Source organism: Homo sapiens, chromosome 13, assembly GCF_000001405.40.
Source record: "Homo sapiens chromosome 13, GRCh38.p14 Primary Assembly".
In the NCBI taxonomy this organism is placed as follows: Eukaryota; Metazoa; Chordata; class Mammalia; order Primates; family Hominidae; genus Homo; species Homo sapiens.
Window position 1 is genome coordinate 71,437,303 of NC_000013.11, and position 26,635 is coordinate 71,463,937.

A 26,635-nucleotide genomic window follows, 5' to 3' on the forward strand; every position below is an offset into this window, starting at 1 on the left:
ACCTTTAGACAGAAAAATTCATTTTCCTTTCTCTTGGGAATGTTTAGAATATTCACAGAGATAGCAACCCGATAGTTCTTCAAATGCTGCACTTTTGATTGATTAAAGTGTTTATGTATTATTAAAGGATATTGTAATTTCAAAGTTTCTAAAGGCATTTTTTTTCCAAAGATAGAGATCAAAAGCAAAACACTGAGTTAGAGTTACAAATCTCCACTCATAGATATGGGAATAATATATTTTGTTCCATCAACATGTCTACTTTGCATTATTCAGCACAAAGCTTTGTGAAATAAGAATCATGGGAATATAAGAATATAAAGAAAAAAGGTACAAATAACAGCTTCATAAACTGAGAAATGTACATAAATAAATCATGTATATGTGGGCAGTTTGCTTAGCTGGCAAGAAACAAAATATGGAAAATCTGCTTGTTAAACAATAACTACAGAGTGTGCTTTTATGATGTTTTTCACCACAGTAATTCATATTAGAGATAGAAGCAGTTGCATGTTAAATAAAATCATTGAGCATTGTTCCCCTTGCATTGCAAAGAGCTGACTTGTGTTGTTTTTAGATGCCTCCCATTAGAAAGTAAATATTCCTTCAATGCTATGCATTTCACAAAATTTAATAAAGATGAACTGTAAATAAAGTCACAGGGAGATTTCAGACAGTTTTATTAGGAGATTGTTGAAAAGGAAAAGAAAATTAAATACAATAACAGTAAACGTGGTTCTCACATTGAAACCAGGCTCAAATAACTAGGCTACCATAGAAAAATTTCCAATTCTTGCATTATGATGTAAAAACAGATTTTTGTACAGATTTTGTACAACAAAATTCGTAATAACCTTTTATCATTTTTAGAAAACTTTAAATATATAGATAAAAATAGACAATTTTCATAGGTCCTACATGAAGATGAGTATGTTCTGTTCCAAGGGCTTGCATAGAGCGCAAATGTGGTTATAATATAGAACAACTAGACATTAATATTTTTAGGATTACAAAAGCATGGAAACCATAAAATGGGCACATTTTACTTGTTTATGCCAAAACACAAATTTCCAAACCAACCTGTATAACTAAAACAGGGAAAAAATTAAGTTACAGACTTACAATAACATTTCATGAATTGTAATATTTACAACATGTTAGTAAGAGTCTCTCTTAACATACAGCTGATAGCTTTTTTCTTTAATCCTTGCTAAAATTTCCTTTTATTTCAAATCAAACACTAAAGCATTCTCAAAGGTCTTCAAATATGTATTTTAAAACTATTTAATCCACATAACAAACAGGTGACTCTATGCCAGGAGCAGAGCAATGGCTGATTCTACTACATATGTAAGTTGTAGGCTTTTTTAAAAATCTTTCAAAAAATGTATGATGCAAAAAGCTTGACACAAGTCCATTCAATTTTAAGTGTTGTAATCCTTTAAAGACTGCATATAGGGAAACAAACACATAGAACTAGGAAAAGAATCCCTTGTGCTCAAACAACAAAAGGTGGTTATGGAAGAACTATGCTTAGAAAACCAAGTTTCTACAAATCATTTACTAGCAATACTTTAAATAAAAATAATGCTCCCTTTGTAAGCAAGCTAAAATAGGAACTGTACATATAACCTTTTTATGGTATTAAAAAGATGAACTTAGCTGGCTAATAGTGAGCTACACAAAAGAATTATGTTCCAGTATTGCAAGGAAGACCTAAAAGGTATAGAAGCGTAATGCCAGAGTATCTATAATGTTAATTTTTTCTTAATCAAGTAATTAATACCCAATCAGAACTATATTTAAACATTTTAAGCTAGTTTTCTTAGACATTGAAGATTTTGCTGTTTTGTGGTAATAAATAATGTTACGATCATACAATTTTAAGATGACAGAAAAATCATAAAATGTATAGTGACCGTACTGATTCATATCAGTCTTTAAAGGTGTAATTCCAGATATGCAAAAAACAAAGAGAAGGTAACTTTAGCATGTAATAAGCACTGTTTGCCGCTTTACTTCCAGTTATCTGCACGAAAGTGAAAACACATACTGTAACTTTCAAAAAGACAGTGAAAATAACACATAGCCACCCTTCCCTCTGACAAGGGTGGGAAGCACAGCACATTTTAACTTTATCACTCAGCGCTACATGGTATTGGACTGGTACATCAAGGTTTGTTAGGTTTTGTTTTCAGCAACATTAACATAATATGACGTTAACATATAAAAATATTTCTGGTGTTTTGATTTGCTGTTCAGCCACAATCCATTCCCAATAGTGCAGCTTGGGGCACTAGCTAGGGTTCAATATACAAATAAAAGTGGCTGACACAGAGTTCTGATGTCACCAGATGCTTAAGATCTCATTCATTAATACTGTGACTCCAGACAAATATTTACATGCCTGCATGCGTTAAAACCAGAAAGACATCTTTCTGACCAACAGGGTGACAAAACATATTTTCTAAAATTTTCATTTTCCTAAACTCTAGTATACTACTGCATACATAATACCTTCCTTGTGTGTTTTATGTTTATATACTGTACATATGACCAACAGTTTGAATAAGAAGCAACATTATTATCTTTAATTCTACATACCACTACCAGTTTGGAATGAAAACATGTTACACTTATATATTTTTTTTTATTTTTAAGAAAAAAAAACCTTCAGTGAAAGCTTTTGGCTTATATTCAATGCTTCTTTTCAGATATGCAAAATGTTATTTCATTGGGTTGTTGTCAACATCCATTTGTTGGTCTTTTGGAAAGTATGTGAAAAAAAATTCTTCAGGAGAAAACCCACAATTAGAGAGTTTGAAATTGAATGTAACAGAAAATCACTCTTGCATTTTTTTTTTTCAAGAATCCTCTATGCCCCCTACAAGTTCATTCGTTCATTCCAAGTGTTCTTGCTGGTTTCTGGAGGACATAATTCTGTAAGTCTGGGTAACCACTGCTACAAGAGTCTCTTGATGTGCTCAGATACAGAATTTTCAGAAGAGGAAAATGGTTCATTCCATTAGAAAAAAACAAAGCTAGGTCTTATTCAGACCTGCCTTTAACTCTGTATACAATTGTCCAGCAGCAAGTTGCAGTAATTAACTGTAAGAACTTTGATACTTGTACATTTACAAACATTCTCAGGTCTCTGGTATGAACCACAGGTGAAAATCAATGGAGAAAACTTTTTTTTTTTTTGTAGAATACTTAAACTTTTAAAGAACATTAATACACAAAATTCAGGAAGTTCCCTTAAAAGGACTTTATTTTTTTCTGAACTTTCCCATGACGAATGTCTGACTGCAAAGTTCTTTTCTATAACATGGATTTCTTCAACAGGAAAGATTCAGTACATGACAGTAGTTTTCAAATACAGTCTTCCATCTAGAAATGAACAGTGAAAAATTAATTAATGGCATGGTATTTGGGGTACAAATGTGCATGTAAAAATGATGTAACTTGATATAAAATTTGTAGTTTTTATTAGATCTTTACTTGGTTAAGAAGTAACATTTTTCATATCTTCTCAAAGTTAAGTTAATTTCATAATTACACTGAGTTTATGTGACTGAAAAGAATACAGCATTTCTACTTCTCATAAATATATATTTGCTATTTTGATATCAGTTCCAGAGCACTCAGAAAATAGCTAAGAGTATGTGTGTGTATTTTACTGATATGCAAAGTTAGTTGATTTCTGTTGAATAACAATTACTTCCTTCAAGCTTGCAGAACCAAATTTTCTCTGAATGCACTCAGGTGTATCTCCATCAGGAAAGACTGAACTCCCATCTTACTCTTTAGCAGTGTTGTTAAATATACCATGTAATGTAACTATTGTGCACATTCGTTGCTATTTATATGAAAGCCAGCTAGGTTATTTCATCACTGTCAATGAACTATAGCCTTTACCCCTTGAAGTGAGATTCATCCAACAATTAAATATTAAAATGTAAACACTGTATATTATTCAACTTTTACTAATGAGCAAACACACAGTTGTGTGAAAAAGAAAAGGAAATCAAATCTTAGAGACATCGAATAAATCCATTTGAATGAAGCACTAATAAGAAATAGGAAATTAAAAGTCCAAACCAAAAATAAAACAATAACAATACCAAACATAAGCATATTTCTCAAATATTTAATACCCTCTAAACTGTCTACTTCCTGGTATGGCCTAAACTTTGTATATATTTGTCTAATATATGTCTGAAATTCAAATTTTAATATGTACAGTAGAAAGGAGAACAATCAGAAAAGGAAAGTTTTCCGAGCTTTGAAAAGTACATATTGCCATGTAAATGTTTGCAAAATGTCTGGTAACTGGAAGAATTAAAATATAAGAAAACATAAATGACCTATAGTACATTCAGGAAATAAAAAAGATAGTCTAAATATTTATGGACCTCACCTTCAACTTTTATACAACTACTTTTATACAATCTATAGTGGATATAGTAAGTTGCAAGGAACTTAATATCAGCAATGTTAAATCATGTCGTACTTCATAGAAATATTGGTAAGCCCAAATTATATATTCCTCTCATTTTTTTCTATTTTTTATAATCCTTCCTTTTTAAAAAATGTTTTTAATTCTTGTGGGTAAATATTAGGTGCATATATTATATTTATGGGATACACTGCATATTTAGATACAGGCATGCATGCATAATAATCACATCTGGGTAAATGGGGTGTCTATCACCTCAAACACTTATCCTCTGTGTTACAAACAATCCAGTCTCTTTCAGTTATTTTAAAATGTACCAATTACTATGAACTATAGTCTCTTTGTTGTGCTATCAAATGTTAGATTTTATTCATTCATCCTATTTTTTTGAACCCATTAACTATCCCCACTCCCTCCCCACTCTCCTCACTAACCTTCCCAGTCTCTGGCAACCATCATTCTACACTCTATCTCCACAAATTTAATGGTTTTAATTTTTAGCTCCCACAAATAAAGTGAGAACATACAAAGTTTGCCTTTCTGTGCTTGGCTTATTTCACTTAGCATAATGACCTCCAGTTTCATCCATGTTGCTGTAAATGACAGGATCTCATTCTTTTTATGGCTGAATAGTATTCTATTGCGTATGTGTACACCATTTTCTTCATTCATCTGCTGATGGACAATTAGGTTGCTTCCAAATCTTGGCTATTGTGAATAATGCTGCAATAAAACATCTTAATAAACATTTGTAGGGTTGAAATACTACCTCCAAGATGTCATGAAACTCTATTTTGCTCATTGAGTATACAGAGTCCTCCCTTTTGCACAGAGTATACAGTAGTCCTCCCTTATCTGTGGGGGATATGTCCAGACTGCCAGTGGATGCCTGAAATCATGGATAGTACCAAACCCTATGTATACTATGTTTTTTTTTGTATACATACATACCTATGATAAAGCTTAATTTATAAATTAGGCACAGTAAGAGATTAACAATTATAGATAATAATGATGCAATTATAGCTACATGGATAATAATAGAACAATTATAACAATATACTCTAATATAAGTTATGTAAATGTAGCCTTTCTGTCTCTCAAAATACTGTAACATTTTCCAACTATTGTTGACAATGGGTAACTGAGACTACGGGAAGATAAACTATAGATAAGGAGGGACTACTGTAAGTTTAGTAAATATGTGTTAAATAAATGCATTAATCAGATATAGGTCTTTAAAAATATAGATTTCATATGGTTTACACAAAGTAGATATTGAATTATATATATAATTATATATATTATTAAATGTAATTATATATTATATGTAATTACATATATTATAAGTATAAAAACATATAATGAACATCTCAAATCCACAATTTTCCCTCCCAGAGGCAGGGATGTCCATGAGATTAGCCTCAGACTGGCTAAATGCTAATAAGTTGTGTCAGATATCAGTTGCCTCTCTTAAAATTAATCTAGTTCAACTTTAAGAATAATAATAATGATTACTTGAAAGTTGCTAAATAGCCTTAGCTTTTCAGGACTGGGAGTGGTGGCTCACAACTGTAATGCCAGCACTTTGGGAGGCTGAGCGGGGAGGACTGCCTGAGCCCAGGAGTTCGAGACCAGCCTGGGCAACATGGTGAGACCCCATCTCTATTAAAAAATAATAGTTATAAATGAAAAAATAAAAAAGAAATACCCTTAGCTTTTCAGTTCAGCAGTCATACACTAGGATTTTTCTTAATAGTTGAAACATATAATAATCATAATAAAGATCTGCTCCCTCAAAATAGCATACATGTTTGGATATAAAATATAACCTAAGATTAATCAGTGAAAACATGTATTTAATCCTGCTGAACTCTAATTCTGAGCAATGATGTAAAGACATGCACAAACTGTGTCTAATTCTCTCTGTAGATATGTGTAGATATGCAGTCTAAAGGGATTTTACCTCTTTGGCCCCTAACTGTCATTTCTGATTGATACTAAATATTACTGCAGTTCAGCTGTAGACATTTTGGTATTAAATAAAGATTGGAACCTCCTAAATCAGGTATTAATCAAATACTAGTATCAAGGCCATATAATTTAGGTAAAAATTTATTTCTAATTAAGGATATGGCAGTACCATGTTGACATATTGTGTAACATTTATTGTTTTCGTATGGAATATGGCCTGATTTCTTCCGTTTGCTTAGCTTAATTGGGCTCACCTGTGGGACCAAACTATGTTTTTCTCACTTACATTATATGAGTAATATATAATTATTTGTGGTTTCAGCATAGCAGGAGTTTCAATTACTTATTTAGTAAACAAACCTAATAATATTATAAAAATAAACAGAACAAAAATTTCTGTCTTTCGTATATTTACTACCACTTGGCTAAAAATTGGACTGTTCTAAAGATAATTTTGATTCAAATGATTTCTACTACATAAAGTAACATTGATTTGTTTAAAAATCTAGTAACAGAGAATAGAGAAGTATCCAAAAAGATGGAGTGTTGATACTTTTGCCAAAGCTTTCTAATTCTTAATCCCTTAATTTATTTATCCCTACTTAACTCTCTTTTCAATTGTCTCATTATTTCTAGCATGTATTCAATTATATTGAGATTATCATTCCCATTCTTATTTTTTAAAAAATACGCAATGTTTCCTAGGATTAAACAGAGGGAACCGAGACCTTGTCAACTTCCACAGAATTCAAATTTCATTAACCTAAGTCCTTCATAAACTTTATAAAAAGTAATAATTTGCTCAAAAGTAACATTTCAGTACTCACTGTGGAACTCTTAAGTCTCTGTACAATGAAGAAAAGCAACTAAAGTATTAAATATAGTTTTCTAATCATCTGTGATCTGCAGTATATTAAGTAGAAAGAATCCAGGAGCAAAAAAATGGATTTATACAAATTATCTTTTAAGTATGAATAATTATTTAAAAGACCCATATTTACATTAACTAGCCAAATTATTCTCCATGGTCTACAAAGTGGTACCTAAGCTGGTGCTGCTTTTCCTTTTCAGTCTTATCTTTTACTTCCCTCCCCTAGGTTTAGTGGCCTGTCTATTCTACAGCACGCCAAACTCTATATTGTGTTGGAATATTCAGGTCTGTTCTTCCTTCAAGAAGCCTAGAATACAAGTACACCCTCTCTCCCTACTTCCCCTTCTGCTGCCTCCTATTGAACTTCTCTACAAAGAGCTCCACTAAGTACTCCTCAATACTATCACCCTAAGAATTACTCTATAGCGCTTATCTCACTTTGAAGTCATATAAAGTGAGCCTCCCCCACGATAAGCCCCGTGGAAGAGGCAGCTGCCTCTTTCTGCCAGTATTAGAATGAGAAGCCTTCAGCATGGTGTTGTTTGCATTAAAAGTTTTAGTGTGGCCTCAAATGTTAAACTTTTGAAGAAAGAAATTCATTAATATGCCTATGTAACAAAAATTATTAGCATGTTAGAAATGTTAAAGTTTATCTAAAACTAAATATTTTAAATAAAACTCTCTTAGATTTGTAAAATATACCAGTAATAAGTATTTCATAAGCATCTTTACCATGGGTACTATATAAAACACGTTTATAAAAATTACATACATTATGTGCTCAGTATCTGATCTGCTGTAATTCTACTTTTAATAAATATGTCTCCTATTAAATTTTTGGCTAATGTTCCTAACAGATGGACAAATGTATCAAGCATTAAAGATGTCAGCTATAAAATAGACCCCACCTGTCACATTCAGGTAGTTCTCTATGATTAAATAATTATTAAACATCAGAGATCCTCTACTTCAGAATCCACCGGAGGCAGAAATGCACCACGCACAGACAGACCCTTGAAGACTGACTATCTTTCTTTCATTTACAGACCCTTATTTTAAAAGCAGTTCTAACATATAATTTTGTCATATTTATTAAAACATACTTGCAGATCAATAAAAGTCTGTAGGAACAAAATTTTAAACAAATGTTATAATGTTCCAGAGAAGTTATATTGGCCCTGTAGCCCACAGTAAATAGCTGCATGTGGACATACCCAGGGAACTAACAACAGGCTTCTGAATTATGGGGCTGTGGTTCTAACTCAGCCTTCTGTTAACAAACCACCTGAATGAAAGGCGGATGGCAAATGTGCTAGGAAGGATATATGGTCCTATAATTCAAACTGTGCCATGTCTGTATGTTATATAATAATGGTCCCAATATTCTCTCCTTTCCTGACTCTTCAAACAGCAAGAAAAGCCATGGGCCATGGAGAAGACTTTGCAAAAATGAGCGGCAAAAGAGAGATTATTGGAATCCCTGGAGTGCGTCCATAGCTGAGGCCTCATTATTCGGAGGTGTGCTGTTTACATCTGACAACTCAGAGGGTTGATTCATACATTTTATATTAAAGGTTACTCGTTGTACATCATACTTACCCTCTAACTAGATAATCTCACTCCTGCCCACCATTTTCTACATTGTCTTTGGTTCTTTCTGTATGTGTTTGACGCAGAAAAAATATATTTCCTGTTTGTTCCTCATGCTGAGGCAAGTTTACCAATCAGTTATTCCTCGATATCTCAAATGGATGAAAGCTTTACATTAAGATTAAGTAAACTGGCAATAATGATTCGTATCAGTAAAGCTAACATTTTCTGAGCACCTGTGATGTTAAAGGTGCTATATCGATTTTAAGTCTAAACTTTCCACCAACCCAAGAAAATAATGCCTCTTACAAATAAGGCTATTAAGGCATAGAGAGTTTAAGTATCTTGCACATTTTCACAGAGCTAGCAAATGGAAGTGCAGTGATTTGACATTTCTGTGAATTCAAATTTCATGGCCATTCCACTCTATCACTTTTCCTCTAATAAGCAACTGGACTGTCCCTGGAAAAAATATGATGTCTTTGACATACAGAATTATAGGACTGACTCCTAAACACCTAGTACCATTTGTCTCGCTGCCTTGTGGATCTGCTCTTTGCCTTCCTCCTGGGAGCAGGGCTTCTTTTTAGTCAGCAAAGCCTCAATTGGTCAAACTGAAATCAGAACTAGAATTCTTACAGCGTAGTTTCAAAGAAAATACCTTCCTTTAACACAATGATTATTTGCTTTTGCATGGGAGGTTGATATGACAGAAAAGTCATCAAGCTAAACTTTGTGCATGGGAGTACTTAATTAAAAAGTCTGTTCTAATTAAAAGCATTTGGGAGTAGGGATTGAGCGAAACTATTTAAATTACAAATTCCTAATAGTTTCAAAGTTCATTGTGATTTGATGCTTACAGCTATAATTTGGTGTATAAGAAAGTATCTCGTGTCTAAGAAAGCATTTGGTATATAAGAAGGATCACTGAATAGTTTATTGTGCGTGTGAATTTTTGTATGCTGTTTGTTACTATGCAGATTTAGATCTACAGAAAATAAATTGAAGAAAAACTTGTAAATTATTTGTAAAAATGGATCTCAGATTTTAATACTACAGTTGCAACCATCAAATCAGACCCAGTAAGTATATAGATTTTAGATATTTTATTCACTGTGTCTGAGGAGACAGACAGGAGAATTCTATCTCAAAATTTCTAGTTTTGTATTCATGGATTAAGTTTAATGTTTGGTTTAATATTTTTTAATGTATTATTATATGAAGTTATTGCTAACATCTAATACATATAGACAGATGTGGAATTTAGCTTTTATTCCATATATAAAAACTAGAGTATTGAACAGATTGATCATTTATTTTAAAAACTAATGAAGTTTGTTTAATGCCAATCATATGGCCGGGCGCAGTGGCTCACACCCGTAATCCCAGCACTTTGGGAGGCTGAGGCGGGTGGATCACGAGGTCAGGAAATCGAGACCATCCTGCCATCATGGTGAAACCCCGACTCTACTAAAAATACAAAAAAATTAGCTGGATGTGGTGGCACACGCCTGTAGTCCCAGCTACTTGGGAGGCTGAGGCAGGAGAATTGCTTGAACCCAGGAAGCGGAAGTTGCAGTGAGCCAAGATTGCGCCACCACACTCCAGCCTGGAGAAAAAAAAAAAAAAACCCACTCACATTATGTGACAAGATTTTATATAAGAAGATGACATATAAATTAATACAATTTCAAATTGACACCAAAAAATCCAATTTGTTCACTGTGAAAGTCATGTAAAATCCTTAACAATGGAGTATGCTTGTGGAAGGTATCACACAATATGCAAATAGATTTCTATTCCAGTTTTGGGAAGAACTCCCTCACAAACATCCACAAGGATCTTTTACACATCTTTTGCACGAAGGACTTAATAAATTGCGTTTTCTGTTAGGAAGTAGCTTTATTAAACAGGTCAACTATTTGTTCAAAACTTATATCCAGGCACCTGTAATCTAGGGATATTTGCTGCTTTCACAAAACAGTTGTACATGCAGATGCCTCACTCTTCCAGAGCTGAGGAAAATATTAACACAGCAGAGGGCAAACATATCACATCACATGTCCAGAAAGTTTAATATTTACTTAAAGAATCTGAGGTTAATATAAAATATAGTAGCCGTGTGTGTCTCTCAACATAATGTCTTCATCATGTGAAGTAAAGGAAACCAAAGCAAGCGATGAAAACAAATGTTAATGATTCATGTGATATTTGATAAGACAACGAAAGGAAGTCAAAATAAAAGCAAACAAACAGGAACAGATGGGAAGGATCTTTGTCAAGTCATAACCCCTCTTCTAAAACCCCCAAAGGAAGAAGCTAATTAAAGAAAATATTGTTTCTTGCTTTTTTTATAATTTTATATTTAGAGTAAGAACATTCTGCTACTGCTAAAGCAAGAAAGCAGAGACACAAAGTCTACATTAAACATGAGAAATATTTTAGTGAGACTGATGTTCTGCACAGGCCCATTTATAAGAGGATACTGAATAATTATCAGTTCTTCTCATGAAATGCAGATAATAACAGTGCAAGTGATTTCCAGATGTTTGAAGACTAATATATTCAAAGCTGTGTTTAAATATAATTAAAAAGTAAAAACTGAAAAAGTAGTAACAGATTCTGTGGTTTTTTTTTTTTTTCAAGGTTGTAACTGGGGAACCTGAGGCCTACAGAGTTGGGTCAAGGTGAGAGAGGACTAGACATCATATTAGACCTCATATCCTCTTTATATGCTTTTTCCATTAGCACTGGGTGCTGTTCTAGACAATAAGCAAAGACTGTGTGCAGGAAAGTACAACAACTAGGGTACTTTGTCTGTACACTCCAAATACACCACAATAAGAAATAGGTAATGAAGTGGCTGGGCATGGTGGCTCATGCCTGTAATCCCAGCACTTTCGGAGGCCGAGGCAGGCAGATGGCCCGAGGTCAGGAGTTTGAGACCAGCAAAACCCTGTCTCTACTAAAAATACAAAAATTAGCGGGGCGTGGTGGCACATGCCTGTGATCCCAGCTACTCAGGAGGCTGAGGCAGGAGAATTGCTTCAACCTGGAAGGCGGAGATTGCAGTGAGCCGAGATCGAACCACTGCACTCCAGCCTGGGCAACAGAGTGAGACTGTCTCAAAAAAGAAAAAAAAAGAAAGAAAAGAAATAGGTAATGAATTACATAATAGACCAACATGGCCTTGCTTATTTGAAATCAGAGTAGATAATGTGCCTTACTAAAAAGGGCTGGTATGCTCATGTTCTCACTTATAAGTGGGAGTTGAACAATGAGAACACATGGACACAGGGAAGGGAACATCACACACTGGGGCCTGTCAGGGGTTGGGGGCTAGGGGAGGGAGAGCATTAGGACAAATACCTAATGCATGCAGGGCTTAAAACCTAGATGATGGGTTGATGGGTGCAGCAAACCACCATGGCATATGTATACCTATGTAACAAACATGCATGTTCTGCACATGTATCCCAGAGCTTAAAGTAAACGAATTTATTGCATCATTAAAAATTTTTTTAAAAAAGGCTGGTATGAAGTAAAGTTCTTGATTGTGGCTAATAATTAGACCAAAAAATTGTAATCACAAACCGCTTTTATATATTTTTTCAGTTCTCTTCAAATAAGAAAGTACATGAGAGAACACAGGTTAGTTGAAAACATGTTCTAATGAGAACACATGGACACAGGAAGGGGAACATCACACACCAGGGCCTGTTGTGGGGTGGGGGGAGGGGGAGGGATAGCATTTGGAGATATACCTAATGTTAAATGACGAGTTACTGGGTTCGGCACGCCAACATGGCACATGTATACATATGTAACTAACCTGCACGTTGTGCACATGTACCCTAAAACAAGAAAAAATGTTCTGAGAACAAGAGATCATCTAAAGCTGTAAAACACAGTTTGATAAGGTACAGGCTTACCTCCTTTTATTTTGCTTCATTTTATTGTGGGACACAGATACTTTTTTTTTTTTTTTGGTTTTTTGTTTGTTTGTTTGTTTGTTTTAACAAGTTGAAAGTTTGTGGCAACTCCGCACTGGGGAAATGCTCACTTAATGTTACTGTGTCACATTTTGGTAATTCTCCCAATATTTTCAACTTTTTCATTATGATTATACCTGTTTTGGTGATCTGTGATCAATGATCTTTGATGTTACTATTGTAACTGTTTTGGGGGTTCCACGAACTATGCCCATATAAGACGATGAACTTAATAAATGTTGCGTGTGTTCTGACTGTTCCACCAACAACTGATTACCCCATCTCTCTCCCATTCCTTGGGGCTCCCTATTCCCTGAATCACAACAATATTGAAATTACGTCAATTAATAATCTTACCATGGTCTCAAATGAAAGGAAGACTTGCATGTCTCTCACTCTAAATCAAATGCTAAAAATGATTCAGCTTGGTGAAGAAGGCATGTCAAAGTCCTAGACAGAACAAAAGCTAGGCCTCTTGCACAGTTTGCCAAACTGTGAATGAAAAACAAAAGTTCTTGAAGGAAATTAAAAGCTACTCTAGTGGACGCACAAATAACAAAAAGCAAAACAGCCTTATTGCTGATATGGAGAAAGTTTGAGGGTTCTGAATAAAAGATCAAACCAACCACATTCCCTTAAGCCACAACCTCATCCAGAGGAAAGCCCTAACTTCATTCTGTTCTATGAAGGTTAAGAGAGAGGGTATTAATGATATTCTAGTCTGTACTCAAGGATCTGCCCCAAATGGGGTCGAAATCTGCATCCTGTGATTCTATGAACTCAAATCTGTTCAAGAACTGAATGTTCTTAAAACTGTATTACCATAACAACAACCAAGCAAAATTAACAAAAAATTATGATGATGATAATCATCATCATCATCGTCAACTATCTATTGTTTGTCTATGCAACAAAGAACAGGCAATTATATGATTAATGTTAAGAAAGCCCTTCGACAAAGTGTTTTAGTCACGAATGAGTGGCCTAAACTCATGTACACACAGTTGGGATCCCATATATTGCATTGCTAAAACCTAAATGTTGTTCCTGTCCTATGCACGTGGCATAGGACCCAGACTATCATCTCTCCCAAGTTGTCTTCTTACACTGACAAGTATAATGCTTCACTATCCTACAGAAATTTCTGAAAGACTGGCTATAAATCTCCTTAAGAGCAGATAAAATACCGTATTTGTGTATTTCTAGCATCTTGAGCATTGCTTGGTACATGGAAAGGGCTCAATAAAAATATATGGAAGGAACTATCAAAATTAATGCCACAAAATGAGGAGAAGATGGATGTTATGTGGCTCTAGATGTTATGCCTTGGGAAGAACACAGCCCCACTGGGATAGTATATTGGCTTAGCATACCTGACCTGAGCCTAAACATGAAGAAACATCAGATGCAAAATGAGAAACATTCTATTAAGAAAAGGACTGTATTTTTCAAAAATGTCAATTTTATAAATTATTTTTAAAAGACTAAGAAAATGCTCAAGATTAAAGAGACTAAAGAGAAATGACAACTAAATATAGCACGTGACCCTAATTTAGATTCAGTAATGAAGGGAAACAAATGCTATAAAGGACATTATTGGGTCAAATGACAAAATTGGAAGTTGGATGTCAGATCAGATCAAAGTATTGTCAATGAAATATTTACTGAGCTGATAAATATACTGTGTTTGCATACAAGAGAACATCTTTATTGTTAATAAATACTCTGAAATAACTATGGATTAGATGATAGGTAAAGGCCCATAATATGTGCATCTTACTCTCAAATGCTTCAGAAAATATTATATAGACAGAGAAAATGCTAAAACACATGGAGGCAAAATATTAATAATTGATGAATCTTGGTAAAGAATACATGATAGTTTTTACACTGTTCCTGGACTTCTCTAAGTTTAAATTGTTTTGTTGTTTTTTTGTATTGTTTTGTTTTGTTTTGTTTTAGACAGGGTTTCACTTTGTCATCCAGGCTGGAGTGCAATGGCACTATCTCATCTCACTGCAACCTCCGCCTCCTGGGCTCCAGTGATCTTCCTGTAGGCCTCCCGAGTAGCTGGGACTACAGGCATGTGCCACCATGCCTGGCTCATTTTTGTATTTTTAGTAAAGACAGGGTTTCACCTTGTTGCCCAGGCTGGTCTCAAACTCCTGGACTCATGCGACCTGCCTGCCTCTGCTTCCCAAACTGCTGGGATTAAAGACATGAGCCATTGCACCTAGCTTAAATTCTTTTTTCAAACACAAATTAAAAAAAATTACATCAGCTATATCAGATATTTCAATATGTCAGCTATATCAGATATTTATTAATAACTAGTTAAAGATTTACCCTTTCTACTATCCACATATACTGTTTCACTGGTCATACGGACAGTGTTCTCATGATAAGTATTTTTCCTGCTTAGCAATGAGGTTTTTGAGAAGTTTATTCAAGTATTAGGTAGAAAACAAATGGTTCATGATTTTCTTAACAGAGTTCTCCAGAAATACCAGGTTTGAAACTCGACAGAGGGTGTGGACATTAGCTAGATTCTAGTCTATTGGTCTATCATGTTTTAATGGCAAATTTACAATTGTAAAGTTTATGAAGTCTGCTTAACTATTACCTGTTACTGAGTTAGGACTGCATATGCAATGTGCATTTGTTAGTGTAAGAAATTACTGTTCTGTTTGACTCTATTTGAAATAAATATTAAGTTATCTTTTAAAAGCTTATCAAAAACAAAAACAAAAAGCAGAGCACATGCCCTCTTTAAAGTTTTGCTTTGCTTTTATAAATAAAGAAAAAAATTTATACTGCTGGAGAAATGCTTTGGTAAAGTATTTTTGTGTGTGTCTTCTAATTAAATATTCATTAGTAAGAAGCAAGAAGTCATCAGAGTGGTTAATGTACCAGCAAGTGAGAATGGGGTACTTTGCACTTAGGTTACCTTGTCCTGATTGGGAGGTGAGACCTCTGGATTTCATCAAAGTGAAAGACAAAGAAATCTCTTATTACTTTCTCCATTCTTCTATTCCTTTCTGAGGGAAAGAAGACTAAGAAACAAGGGTGGAAGGAAATAATCATATAAGTGCAAATCTGATCCTAAGTAATGAATGGACATATTATCTAATATACTTAATTAAAACACAGCATAGAAGAAAAATGATTTCTTGTTTGATCAAATAAGATGCTACAGAGAAGGAAAACAGGGATATTTTGATTCATTTCAAGCCTTTATATCTTTTCAGAACTGCAAGAAACAGACAAAATCCTGTGAATAAATTGAGATGTCAGAATAAATTTATGTGTTATCTCTAAGAAAAAAACCAGAGGTGGCAATTAGAAGGGCAGCTCTTGTCAAAGCCTAGTTATTTTCTTCTAAGTTTGGAAGAAAAAAAACTCATCATCTGGCTTTTAAAAGTTCAGCATTTTCTACTTTTTTTCTATTTTCTCCAACATGACTAATTTGTTACTTTTAATAAACATTATACTTGTTTAGGGAGGTAACTGTGGGTGAATAAAGTTCTACATCTTTAAAGCCTTATTTAATATGTTTACAAAAAGCTGAGCTGAGATTCTGACAGTGTTCAACTTGACAAATGACAGGCAAAGTTCAATGAAAGAGCTCTCAAAACTTTTCAGTAAATATGAGAGTTTCCTAGCTAAAGAAGTGACACTTTCATAGGGAAATAACTTTTCTTTATATCTTACCTAATGAAATCATTAACTGATATTTAGACAGTATATGGGTGAGAACAATAACATCCTATACAAGAACTTTTAAGTAAGGTGGCCCTCTGTGCACTAAAAACACAGAAGAGATAAGTTCAAAGATGTGCAACGTTATATTAAAAAGAATGACTAGCAAACAGGCAAGAAGCACATTGACAGAAATATCATAACTAAAGGAAGAATATGAGAATCAATAGAATGTTTGCCCTGAAATGAAGCCTGGAGAAAGCAGTTAATCAAGCAAATTTACCAGACAGGGATGATGTTACTTTCAAAGACAAACATGGACATCTGCTCTGTCTTTAGATATATTCCTGAATCCATTAAATAGTAGGAATATATCACACTCCTTGTTCTGATTCCATTCTCACTAGGGAACTGGACAGTTTTATTTTCTGAAGAGCCTTCTGTGGTAGGCATCCTCTAAGATGATCAGCAATGCCCCCTGCCTCCTACAATTACAGCCATACATGATACCTTCTCCTTAAGTGTGGGTTGTACCTAGGGACTTGCTTCTAATGAGGAGAATATGGTAATAATGATGGGATGTCACTTTCAAGATTAGGTTCTAAAAAGACGGTAACTTGCAAGTTGTGGGCACACTCTTCTTCCCCAGATCTATTCACCTGCTTGATCTGATGAAGCAGGCTGCCATGTATTGAGCTGCCCTGTGGAGAGTACCGTGTGGCAAGGAACTGATGGTGGCCTCTGGCCAATGGCCAGCAAGGAACCCAGGCCCTCAGTCTAGCACTCTTGAGGACAGGAGGCATGGCAACAGCCACATTAGTCAGCTTGGAAGTGGAGTGTCCCTCAGTGGAGTCTAGAGATGACTGTAGGCCTGCCAACACCTTCCTGTAGCCTGGGGTACCCAAAGCAGAAGGCCCAGCTAAGCTAGTCCCCAATTCCTCACACACAGAAACTGTGAGGTAGTAAATATTCTTTTAAGCCATGAAGTTTTGAGGTAATTTGTTGTGACACTAATAGTCATTCCGTGATAGAAAAGATGTTCTGGTCAATGTCACAGGTAAATATTTTAGTTCTTGTGAGTTTTAGTGTGTTAGTACCTCTGTTTGCTTTCTTCTGAAATACAGAGAAGATTGCTAACATAATTCCAGATCATGTGAACTCACCAAACCAAATGCTGCCTTTGATTTCTCCTAGGAGCCTGCCTGCCTTTCAGAGGAACAAGGCTAACTTGCATGTTTCCCAGAACATTTATTGTTCTTAATGTGCAAAAATCAAAACAAACATCTGATTTGCTATTGAAAAGATAAATTATTCTAAATCACAAACTATTTATTTTCACACTTTTAAAAGATTTGTTTTGTCATACACACACAAACACACACACACATACCTCTCCATATATAGAGATAGATAGATATATCATATATCTATCTCTCCATATATGGAGTCTATATAGACAGATAGATATAGATAGATATATCCATATCTACCTATATGTGTACCTATATATATCTTCTTCAGTAGGTGGAAATAATTTGCTTGTATTATCCTAGGGTGCTTTGATTGTACTGGGAATAAAAACAGATTTTCCTTAAAGAGCAATATTATTTCATGATATCTGGTGGCCTTCTCAGAAATAAAAACAATAATTCGAAATAGTTTAATTCTCAGATCAAAAATATCTCAGAATAATAATGATCATATCACGTAACTAGATGGACTGCGACAGAACTTACCCAGGCAATTGTTTAGCTCCCTACTGCTGAAGTTGTTACAGTTTAATGAACTGACAAAAAGCAAAAGAGGAAAACCACATTCTAGATCTGTCCCTTAAAAGCATCTAAAAAGATACCAGATTGAATGAAACAAGGCAACATATTTAGTGTTCCTGAGAACTTTTGATTTAGTGATTGTAATTGGCTGAGATCTATTTCAGTTAAATCTGGTATCTTACCATTTTTAAAGCTATTGTTTATCATACTTCATATTTTCTAAGGAAACAGACCTCATCCTTTGCAAATTGCTCATGAAAAGATCAACAAACTGGTCACAAACAATAACAAATGTAAGACACTAAGTGCTTTCTAAAATGGAAAGCAGTAACAACAAAAAAAGGCAAAATGTCCTATTACAAAAAACTGTAATGCTAATAGATAATTTTGCAATTTACAAATTGTCTCTATCTCTAGAAACAAAGAATTTCAGGAAACATCTGAGCACTATGGACTTATAATTTACATCTTTTGAAAGTTCCGGTTTGTTCTCAGCATATATTAAATTTCACAAGATTGCCAAACTTCTTTAATATAATTTCAAAAAATAAACACAAAAACTCTACAACTAAACATGCAAAGTATATTATAATAAATGTGCATATATTTAGAAAGAAGATAAATGCTGATATATGTATATTTCATGCCCATTGTGAAATTCTGCCCTGGGTCATGGTAACATAGGCCACTATTTCCATTAAAATTAATAGCTTGTGGCTGTGGTTACTGTCAGTATTGCCTTATTTTCCCATCACTAGTGATTGTGACATGAATAAAATTAACTTATGTCACCATGTAGATCATTATATCCTGAATTAAGGTTAGATTTCGAGAAGCATTATGAATTTAAGGAATTCATCTAGCCTTAGTTCTAAACCACTTTATAATAAAAATCTTTATTTTCCCACCATAGGGACTCTATACCACTCTTTTAGGGCTAATTCACAGTTGCACTTGGACGATAGCAAACTGTTCAATGCAAAATGCTGATTTTATCTTAAAATCCATGGTCATCTACATTGATTTCAACTGGACAGACTTCAATTTCATTTCTTCTCAGGAAAACCTACTTGCATGGCTTTAAGAATATTAACTTCTATGTCTTGGATAATAAACGTTGGCTGTTTCCCCGTCAGGTTTTGGTAGCATCGTGGTGCCTGTATAAAGAGTTCAAAGCTGTATAGCCATCTGTAACAGCTCTATTTCTTTACAAGTTCAGTGCTCAGATAAAAATTCTAAACGTTGCAGCCCTAGACACTTGATGACTCTATTACCAAATGCATTTTATATAAGAGATCATGATGTTCCTAAAGCTTAAAATATCGTGTGAGAATAGTATTATTTTGGTATAACCTACACTTTCTTGTGATAAATCGGGACACTATTACATGAGCACGTTTTTCTTTATTTACCAAGACTAAAGAATAATTTTTACTTCCCCTTCATCAAAATAAGAATGCATTATACTGTTCAAATGACTGCAAAAAATATCTATGCATCGGAAGGAAAAGCTTACAATGAGAGTAAATTATTGTTGCTTTTTTGTTTATGACTCTATTCAATGTAAGTTTGATTACTTGAAAGGACTGGTATCCAACATATTGCCATATGGAACAATATCATGAAAAATACATGTCTCTTAATGCAAGAGTTGAATTGACACTTTGTCATAGATAAAATCTGCAGAATCAACAAAGATGCAAAATAACTAAGTCAAAACATGAATTATCTAACATAACACTATGTATTTTTATCATTCACTATTCTAATTTCATGTACATAATCTAACACTGTAAATTTCTTGGTCCCAGTTTTATTACACTCACTTTCCTGGACAAAATTCAAATCCATCCTTTCTAACTCCCACGAAAAAAAAAGCTGCTTTATGTTTTATCCATTTCTAAAAACTATTAGGTCATTCATTTCATACAAGGATAATGTAACATGTTACAAAATGTTTTAACTCATTGCTATTTGAACATACTTTGCTTCGAAATGTTGCCTTCGTTGCTCTTATTACTGTCTTTTCTTTGTGGAAGGATGAAGTGGAGAGTGGCTTGACTCACTTCTCAGAGTAATAAAATCAAGATTATGCAAAGAGATTCTATATTTTCAATATAAGAGATTTTTGTCAGCTTCAATTATGTCCAAAGTTGTGTCTCTCATCTGGACTTCACATTCCAATGCCTGCTTCATATCTCCTGAGGTGCTTACTCTACAACTGTATCTAAATGACACATTGTCACATCACACCCCATATTAGTAAGCCAAACTCATCATCATCTACATTAGCCTGGATCTCTTTCCCAGATTATGAAATTCAAACACAGCCATTTGGCTTTTGCATTTTCTTAGTACTACAATTTGACTTACCCCTTATATTTCTTACTCTATTCCTTATGAATACCAAAAGATGAACACTCATTACCTCTTTTCTGAATGAATTACATTTTTTATTTCTTTATTCTCACCTATATGAATACCTTTTATGTAATGTGTATATTATTTAGAATTTACTATATTGATTTCAGAATTTAAAAAAAACAGCAGAGGCCAGATTTTAACTTTAATAAAGGTTATTTGTGAATCTGTCCAATTCCATACTGAGAAACAATCATATTTATTTATTTCCTGTTTGCAAAAATTTTGCAAAATATGTTAATAATATGGCTTCTCAAAAGATCTAGACTTACATATCTTGACTTAAATAAATCTTCATCAATCAGCCAGTTGGAATGTACTCTGACAGTTGCCTGTACTCTGAAAGCAATTTATATGCATTTCAGAAGTACTGGGTTAAAGTGGATACTTTATTAAATGAGAATTCTAGACCTTTTACATCTCTTAGGGAAAAAATATCAAAATTTCTAAAGTTTTAGATTTTACCTATTAGATCAATTTTAGGCTTAGATGCATGCTTCCAATATTGTGTGAGATCTTACAGCCAACAAAGCTAAAAATGAGTTCTACTAGAAAAATTGAAACTATGACTACCTAAATATTGTATAGAGTATATTGGCTTTTAAATATTTAGACACACATACACATGATATATTTTGATTCATTAAAATTGTTTCTGTTTCATATAATAAAATCTAATGCATAAGTATTTCACACCTTTATATAAATAAAACCTGACCTAAAATTCCTACCACACTGAACAACATCTTGATATCTACAGCTATATTAAAAACAATTAACTAAATATGTATTTTATTAGAAGTATTTGTTTCTGTATATCCCACTAGATTATAAGTGAATTAGAAAGGATATGTCTTTTGTTTTGTTTTTGTTTTTGTTTTTTTTGGCCCTGCACTTCAGTGTATAAGCATTTGTTAAAGTGAATTGGCTGCTACAGATAGATTCAACAAGAGTTACGGACAATAGTTTGCCAAAGTTCATTCCACGAAATATTATTACTTTTAATTCAATAAAAAGGTTTTATGTCAGATACTTTTAGGAAATGCTAGTTCAATAAGTCAAATATGCTTAACTTTTAATGCAGTACTTTAATGCAGGATCTTGGTGTCTTTAAAATACTAAACATGGACTTTGAAAATTCAAGAGGATATGTATTAAAAACAAAGAGCTATTTTAAAATTTTGTCCTCTTAAACTGTTCATAAGATAATTCTCAGAGTAGTATATTGATAGCAGTCTGGAAGCCATACTGGAAGAATGTGTTCATCCATATTTTTTCCATTCTATACTGCAGTGAAGATTTTATAACAGTTGTAGTGTTTCAGGAAGAGAGAAAATGGATGAAAATTATTTGAGTGAAAGACATGAGAAGAGCAATTCTGAGGTTTCATTATAACTTAAATTCATGATTTTGAAACATCCAGAACTTTTTTTATGGGATGTCTTTATATTTTGTATTTATTAGCTAAACCATATGAAAGCATAGACCTTCAGATAGTGGTATACAAAGGGAGATGAGAAAAGCTAAGTAGAGAAGAAATTAAAACTGAAATTAAAACTGAAATTAAGCCCAAAGAAGAAAGAATCTAGTATTTTATATTTATATTTTTCACATTGCTAACTCATTTTATTCAGAAATCATAAATCCTGCCAATACTGAAAAACAAGATTTATTATTTTCAAGTCTCTCATAAATCTAAAGTATCATTAGTCACCTAATATTGCTAAAATTATACACATATTTTTTCATGTTAAAGCACTGCAAGTGTTAAAATATAAAAGTCTGCAGATTTGTAATGCATCATAAAACTTCACCCTTTTGTTGACTATGCATTTTTACCATTAGGAAAATCACTGGAAAGGTTTTTGCATTTTTTGTGTTTTATAAAATAACATGCAAAGGAACCACTAGGCTATGAGAATTCACAGCCCTTCTATGTGCATTGTTGGGTTTAAATAAATGTCTATGCTCTAATTTTCTCACAAAGAAAAGAGTCATACATAAAAACACTGTTCAAACCAAGGCAACCAAGAACTGCATTTGAGATCCAAGTAGGCAATTACCTACCAAACTAAATATTTACACATTAGTTTAGAAAATCAGTTATTATATGGCTTACCAGAAACAGAAAACAAAAATCTAGTTATACTGAAAAAACTTAAGTATATAAACATTCTAGAAAATTCGCCACATCTTTTCCTGTGTTGATTTATAACCACTCAAGCATTAATTTCATAACATTTTCACTGTGTAGATAAATGTTATCAGTGTTTTTGGAATTAGTCAGTTGAGACTCTTGTGGTGAGTGTGAAATTACGAGATGAGGAAATGTAGAAACTAAGCTAAATACTATTCCCAGCTCTTGATCAAAATGAGATTTGTTCTATTGTTTAACATGACAGCTCATATTCTTCAGTGTATTTACATGTTTTCTGGGTGGATGATTGGGTGGTGTTGATGCCCCATCCTGTGCCCTTGATTTGGGCTTGACACGGTTGTCTTGTTGGGAGCCAGTGAAGAGGTTTCTGTCTAGTTTGAAACCAAACCAGTCAAAGCATTAGGGCTACTTGCCTTCATTTGTTATATTAGTGGGTGTAAAAAGGAGCAATAAGTCACTGGTTGAATTTGGCCTGTATTTTAAAATCTCATTACAAGACTACAATAAAATATCTATGAATAATGAAACAACATGGAGAAAAAGCTTATTCCAGTCCCATTTGACTCCACTGCTGGTAACCCTTGGAAAGTAAGTGCAAATATGTTACAAACCTCAATGGGGTCTCCTCCAGCAAAGATATGAAGAATTACAAGAAATGTATTCCAAAGGATAAACAGTAAACCTGTGACTTTATTCCATTAACATATTTTTCTCTTATCTATTACATTTACTTCACTATTTTCTGTAATTGAGACTTTGACACATTAACCAGGCTAGGTCCTGAACTCTTAGGGAAATACAAGCCTATTAGCTACTATATTATATAATAAATCAACCCTTTAAATTAAGGCATCTTCTGCAATTTCTTTAAATGTTCTTCCTTCAAATCATTTAAGAAGAATAATTAGAATTTACATAATAAAAATATTGGGCATTTTTATCCTTTGCAATATTTATACCACTTAAGTGCCTAACACAATGGTGTTAATCTGAATGGCATAAATGTAAAAGAAGATGTAGGAAGATGGCCCTCAAAATATTATCTCAAAAGTAAGTCTGAATTCAAAGCAGTTAGGAGAAGTCATCGCATTCATTCAAAAGAGCTTTGGGAGCTTTTTCCTTTATTTATGACTGAACTGCTATTTTCAAATTTGTTTATGCTGTATTATAATTGTTTTTTATTCAGAGGTTTTAAAAAATCTCTCTTACTATTATCAGAGAACATAAATAAGCCCGCATCATACTCAGGCTTCTACATTGCTTTTAAGAATCTGCAACTTTGCATATAAATATGTATTTGGAGTTCCTTTAGAGAATAAATATGGTACTACTGGGCTTATGGTCCCATTGGGGTTGGCTGGCACTCATTACTATCTATTGGGTTTAGAAGAGGAAAGTGCTTTCCATTCTTGCTATCTTACATTTCTCATTAGTGAAATTTCTCTCCAAATCACTATCCTTTAACTATGAATAAGGCCCAGGTTGTGAAATTGTATATAACTTCTCTGGAGAAATTTGGTAAGGACAGTCAAAAGACAATGATACTTTGGAACAAGAGAGGCCTAAAACTATATTAACCAGTATAAACCACTAAGAAAATAAAGACATCAAAATTATTAATATAATATTGTTTTACCATAGAAATCAAATAATTAGTTCTTAATTCTGTTAAGATGACTTCATAAGCCTTATGAACTAAATGTAAATGTTAAACCAGGGTATGAAATCAAAGTTAAACATAGCACACCTGAATATGTATGGAAATAATTTATGGTCTAAAATCTCCCCATCCAGCACTCTTTCTCCCAGGGAGAAATAAATAAAGAATGAAAGTCAGATCCAATAATTTGTAGCCATCATTCATCGTTTTATAGGTGTAATTAGTAAGCTTAAGTGGAACTATGTTTGGAGATTTACTATCTCTGGAGTGTGATTATATATGAATTAGAAGAGTCTGCAGTTACTCCACACTATATGAAAATACAAATCATATTAGGAGAAATTTGCCAAATATAATAGAAAAATCAAGACACTCTAATGCTTCCATCTTAAATTTGAGCCAACAATAACTAGTTTATTTTTTATTCTGAAAGAGATAAATAATTATATATAATATGTAGCTGCAAATAAAACTCCTTGTGCTATATTGTTTTAATTGATGTAATTATTGAAATTCACACCATGTCATGAATTTTTTAAATGCTCTGGAAAATCTGGTGAATATTTATTTCATTTTCCAGCTCAATCATGCCTCAAAGAACAGCTATGTATCACATACAGAAAAAAAAAATCATTGACTGAGGAGAATGCAAGATATGTTTAATTTTTACCAAAAATAAACACAATTTCAACTACTATTACATTAAATTTGTGCATAATTGTAAAAATAGCAAAATCTTTTCAACACTCGGCCTCTACCAGTTACTGTTCTAACTTCTTTACGTGTATTAATTCATTTAATCTTCATAACAATTTCACAAATAAAATGTTATTATCATCTTTGTTTTACAGATTAGGAACCCAAAACATCAAACAGTGTAATTTACACACTTGGTATTATACTTAGTATTATACAGTTAACAGCAGCATGGGAATTTGAACCCAGGAATTCCAGGTCTAGAATCTATCTATCTACACACACACACACACACACACACACACACACACACACACACACATAAACCATGAATACATATGCGTGTGTGTGCATGTGTTTGTGTGTCTATACTCAGTGAACAAAGTAGATGTCTTTGCCATTTTGACAGAATAAAAATATCAGTGTTAGAACAGGACTTAGCAGTTAAAGTGAGTTACCAAGGTCACAACATTAATGAATGATAGTATTGACACTAGACTATTACTCTCAGTTCAGCACTACTCTCTTAGCACTAAACTGTATTAATGTTAATTTTACTCATTTTAAAACCAGTTATTTAAATACATTATCGATATTAGTAAAATAAAATCTGTATTGGCATTTATTGTGTAACTGATTTATTAATTATCCCTGTAAACTAGTGAATTTATTTTAGAGAAAACTAAACTTTGTTTTATTTTAGAGAAAACGTCTTGAGAAAAATGCAAGCTAATGAAAATGCCTTTTTACTAAAGATGAATCCTACAGGAAACTTAAAGTCAATTTAATTGATTTTATCACATTACTAAACTTTACATAGAAAGACTATATATTTGCATTTTGAATCTTAATCCTCATAAATTTATGCCACCCTCATTATCTACTTTAACATTTAGTCACTCACAGCCACTTCATAAATTCTCATGACATAAAAAGATTGCTGTCACGTAGGAAGCAAGGCGTATGGAGACAAAGGAACTCAAAGATTCTGGATTTACAGTTTGAGTCCAAGTGACTTACATCTATGTACCTCAGTTTCGTCAAATATAAAATGGGTTTACTGTGAAGATCAATAAAAATAATGCCTGTAAAAAAGTTGTGTAAACCTTAAATTGCTTTGGAAGTATTAGATGATGTTCTTTTTTGGTAATATCCTGAAACACTGCTGTGTCAAAAACAATCCCATTAAGAGATCACCAATATCCTTTCCCTTATGTCTTTTTAACTTCCAGGCTCTCTCCTTCCATTCCTCCTCAGTTCCCTTGAACGTATACTATTTGGCACTTGATGAGATTTTGGATTTCATCCCTTCCAAGGCACGGCTCTTGGTTTTCATTATGATC

General features: G+C 33.4%; 1 protein-coding gene across 5 annotated transcripts in view; it reads right to left on the reverse strand.

Annotated features, from left to right (window-relative positions):
- The window catches only part of DACH1 (dachshund family transcription factor 1), a 429,239-nt gene continuing 403,267 nt past the window's right edge, over nucleotides 664-26,635 (reverse strand). For all 5 annotated transcript variants that reach the window (NM_004392.7, NM_080760.6, NM_080759.6 and 2 more), the window contains one exon: nucleotides 664-3,390. In NM_004392.7, coding sequence (NP_004383.4) covers nucleotides 3,353-3,390 — 38 coding nt within the window. In that variant the 3' untranslated portion in view covers nucleotides 664-3,352. The remainder of the gene's footprint in view (nucleotides 3,391-26,635) is intronic.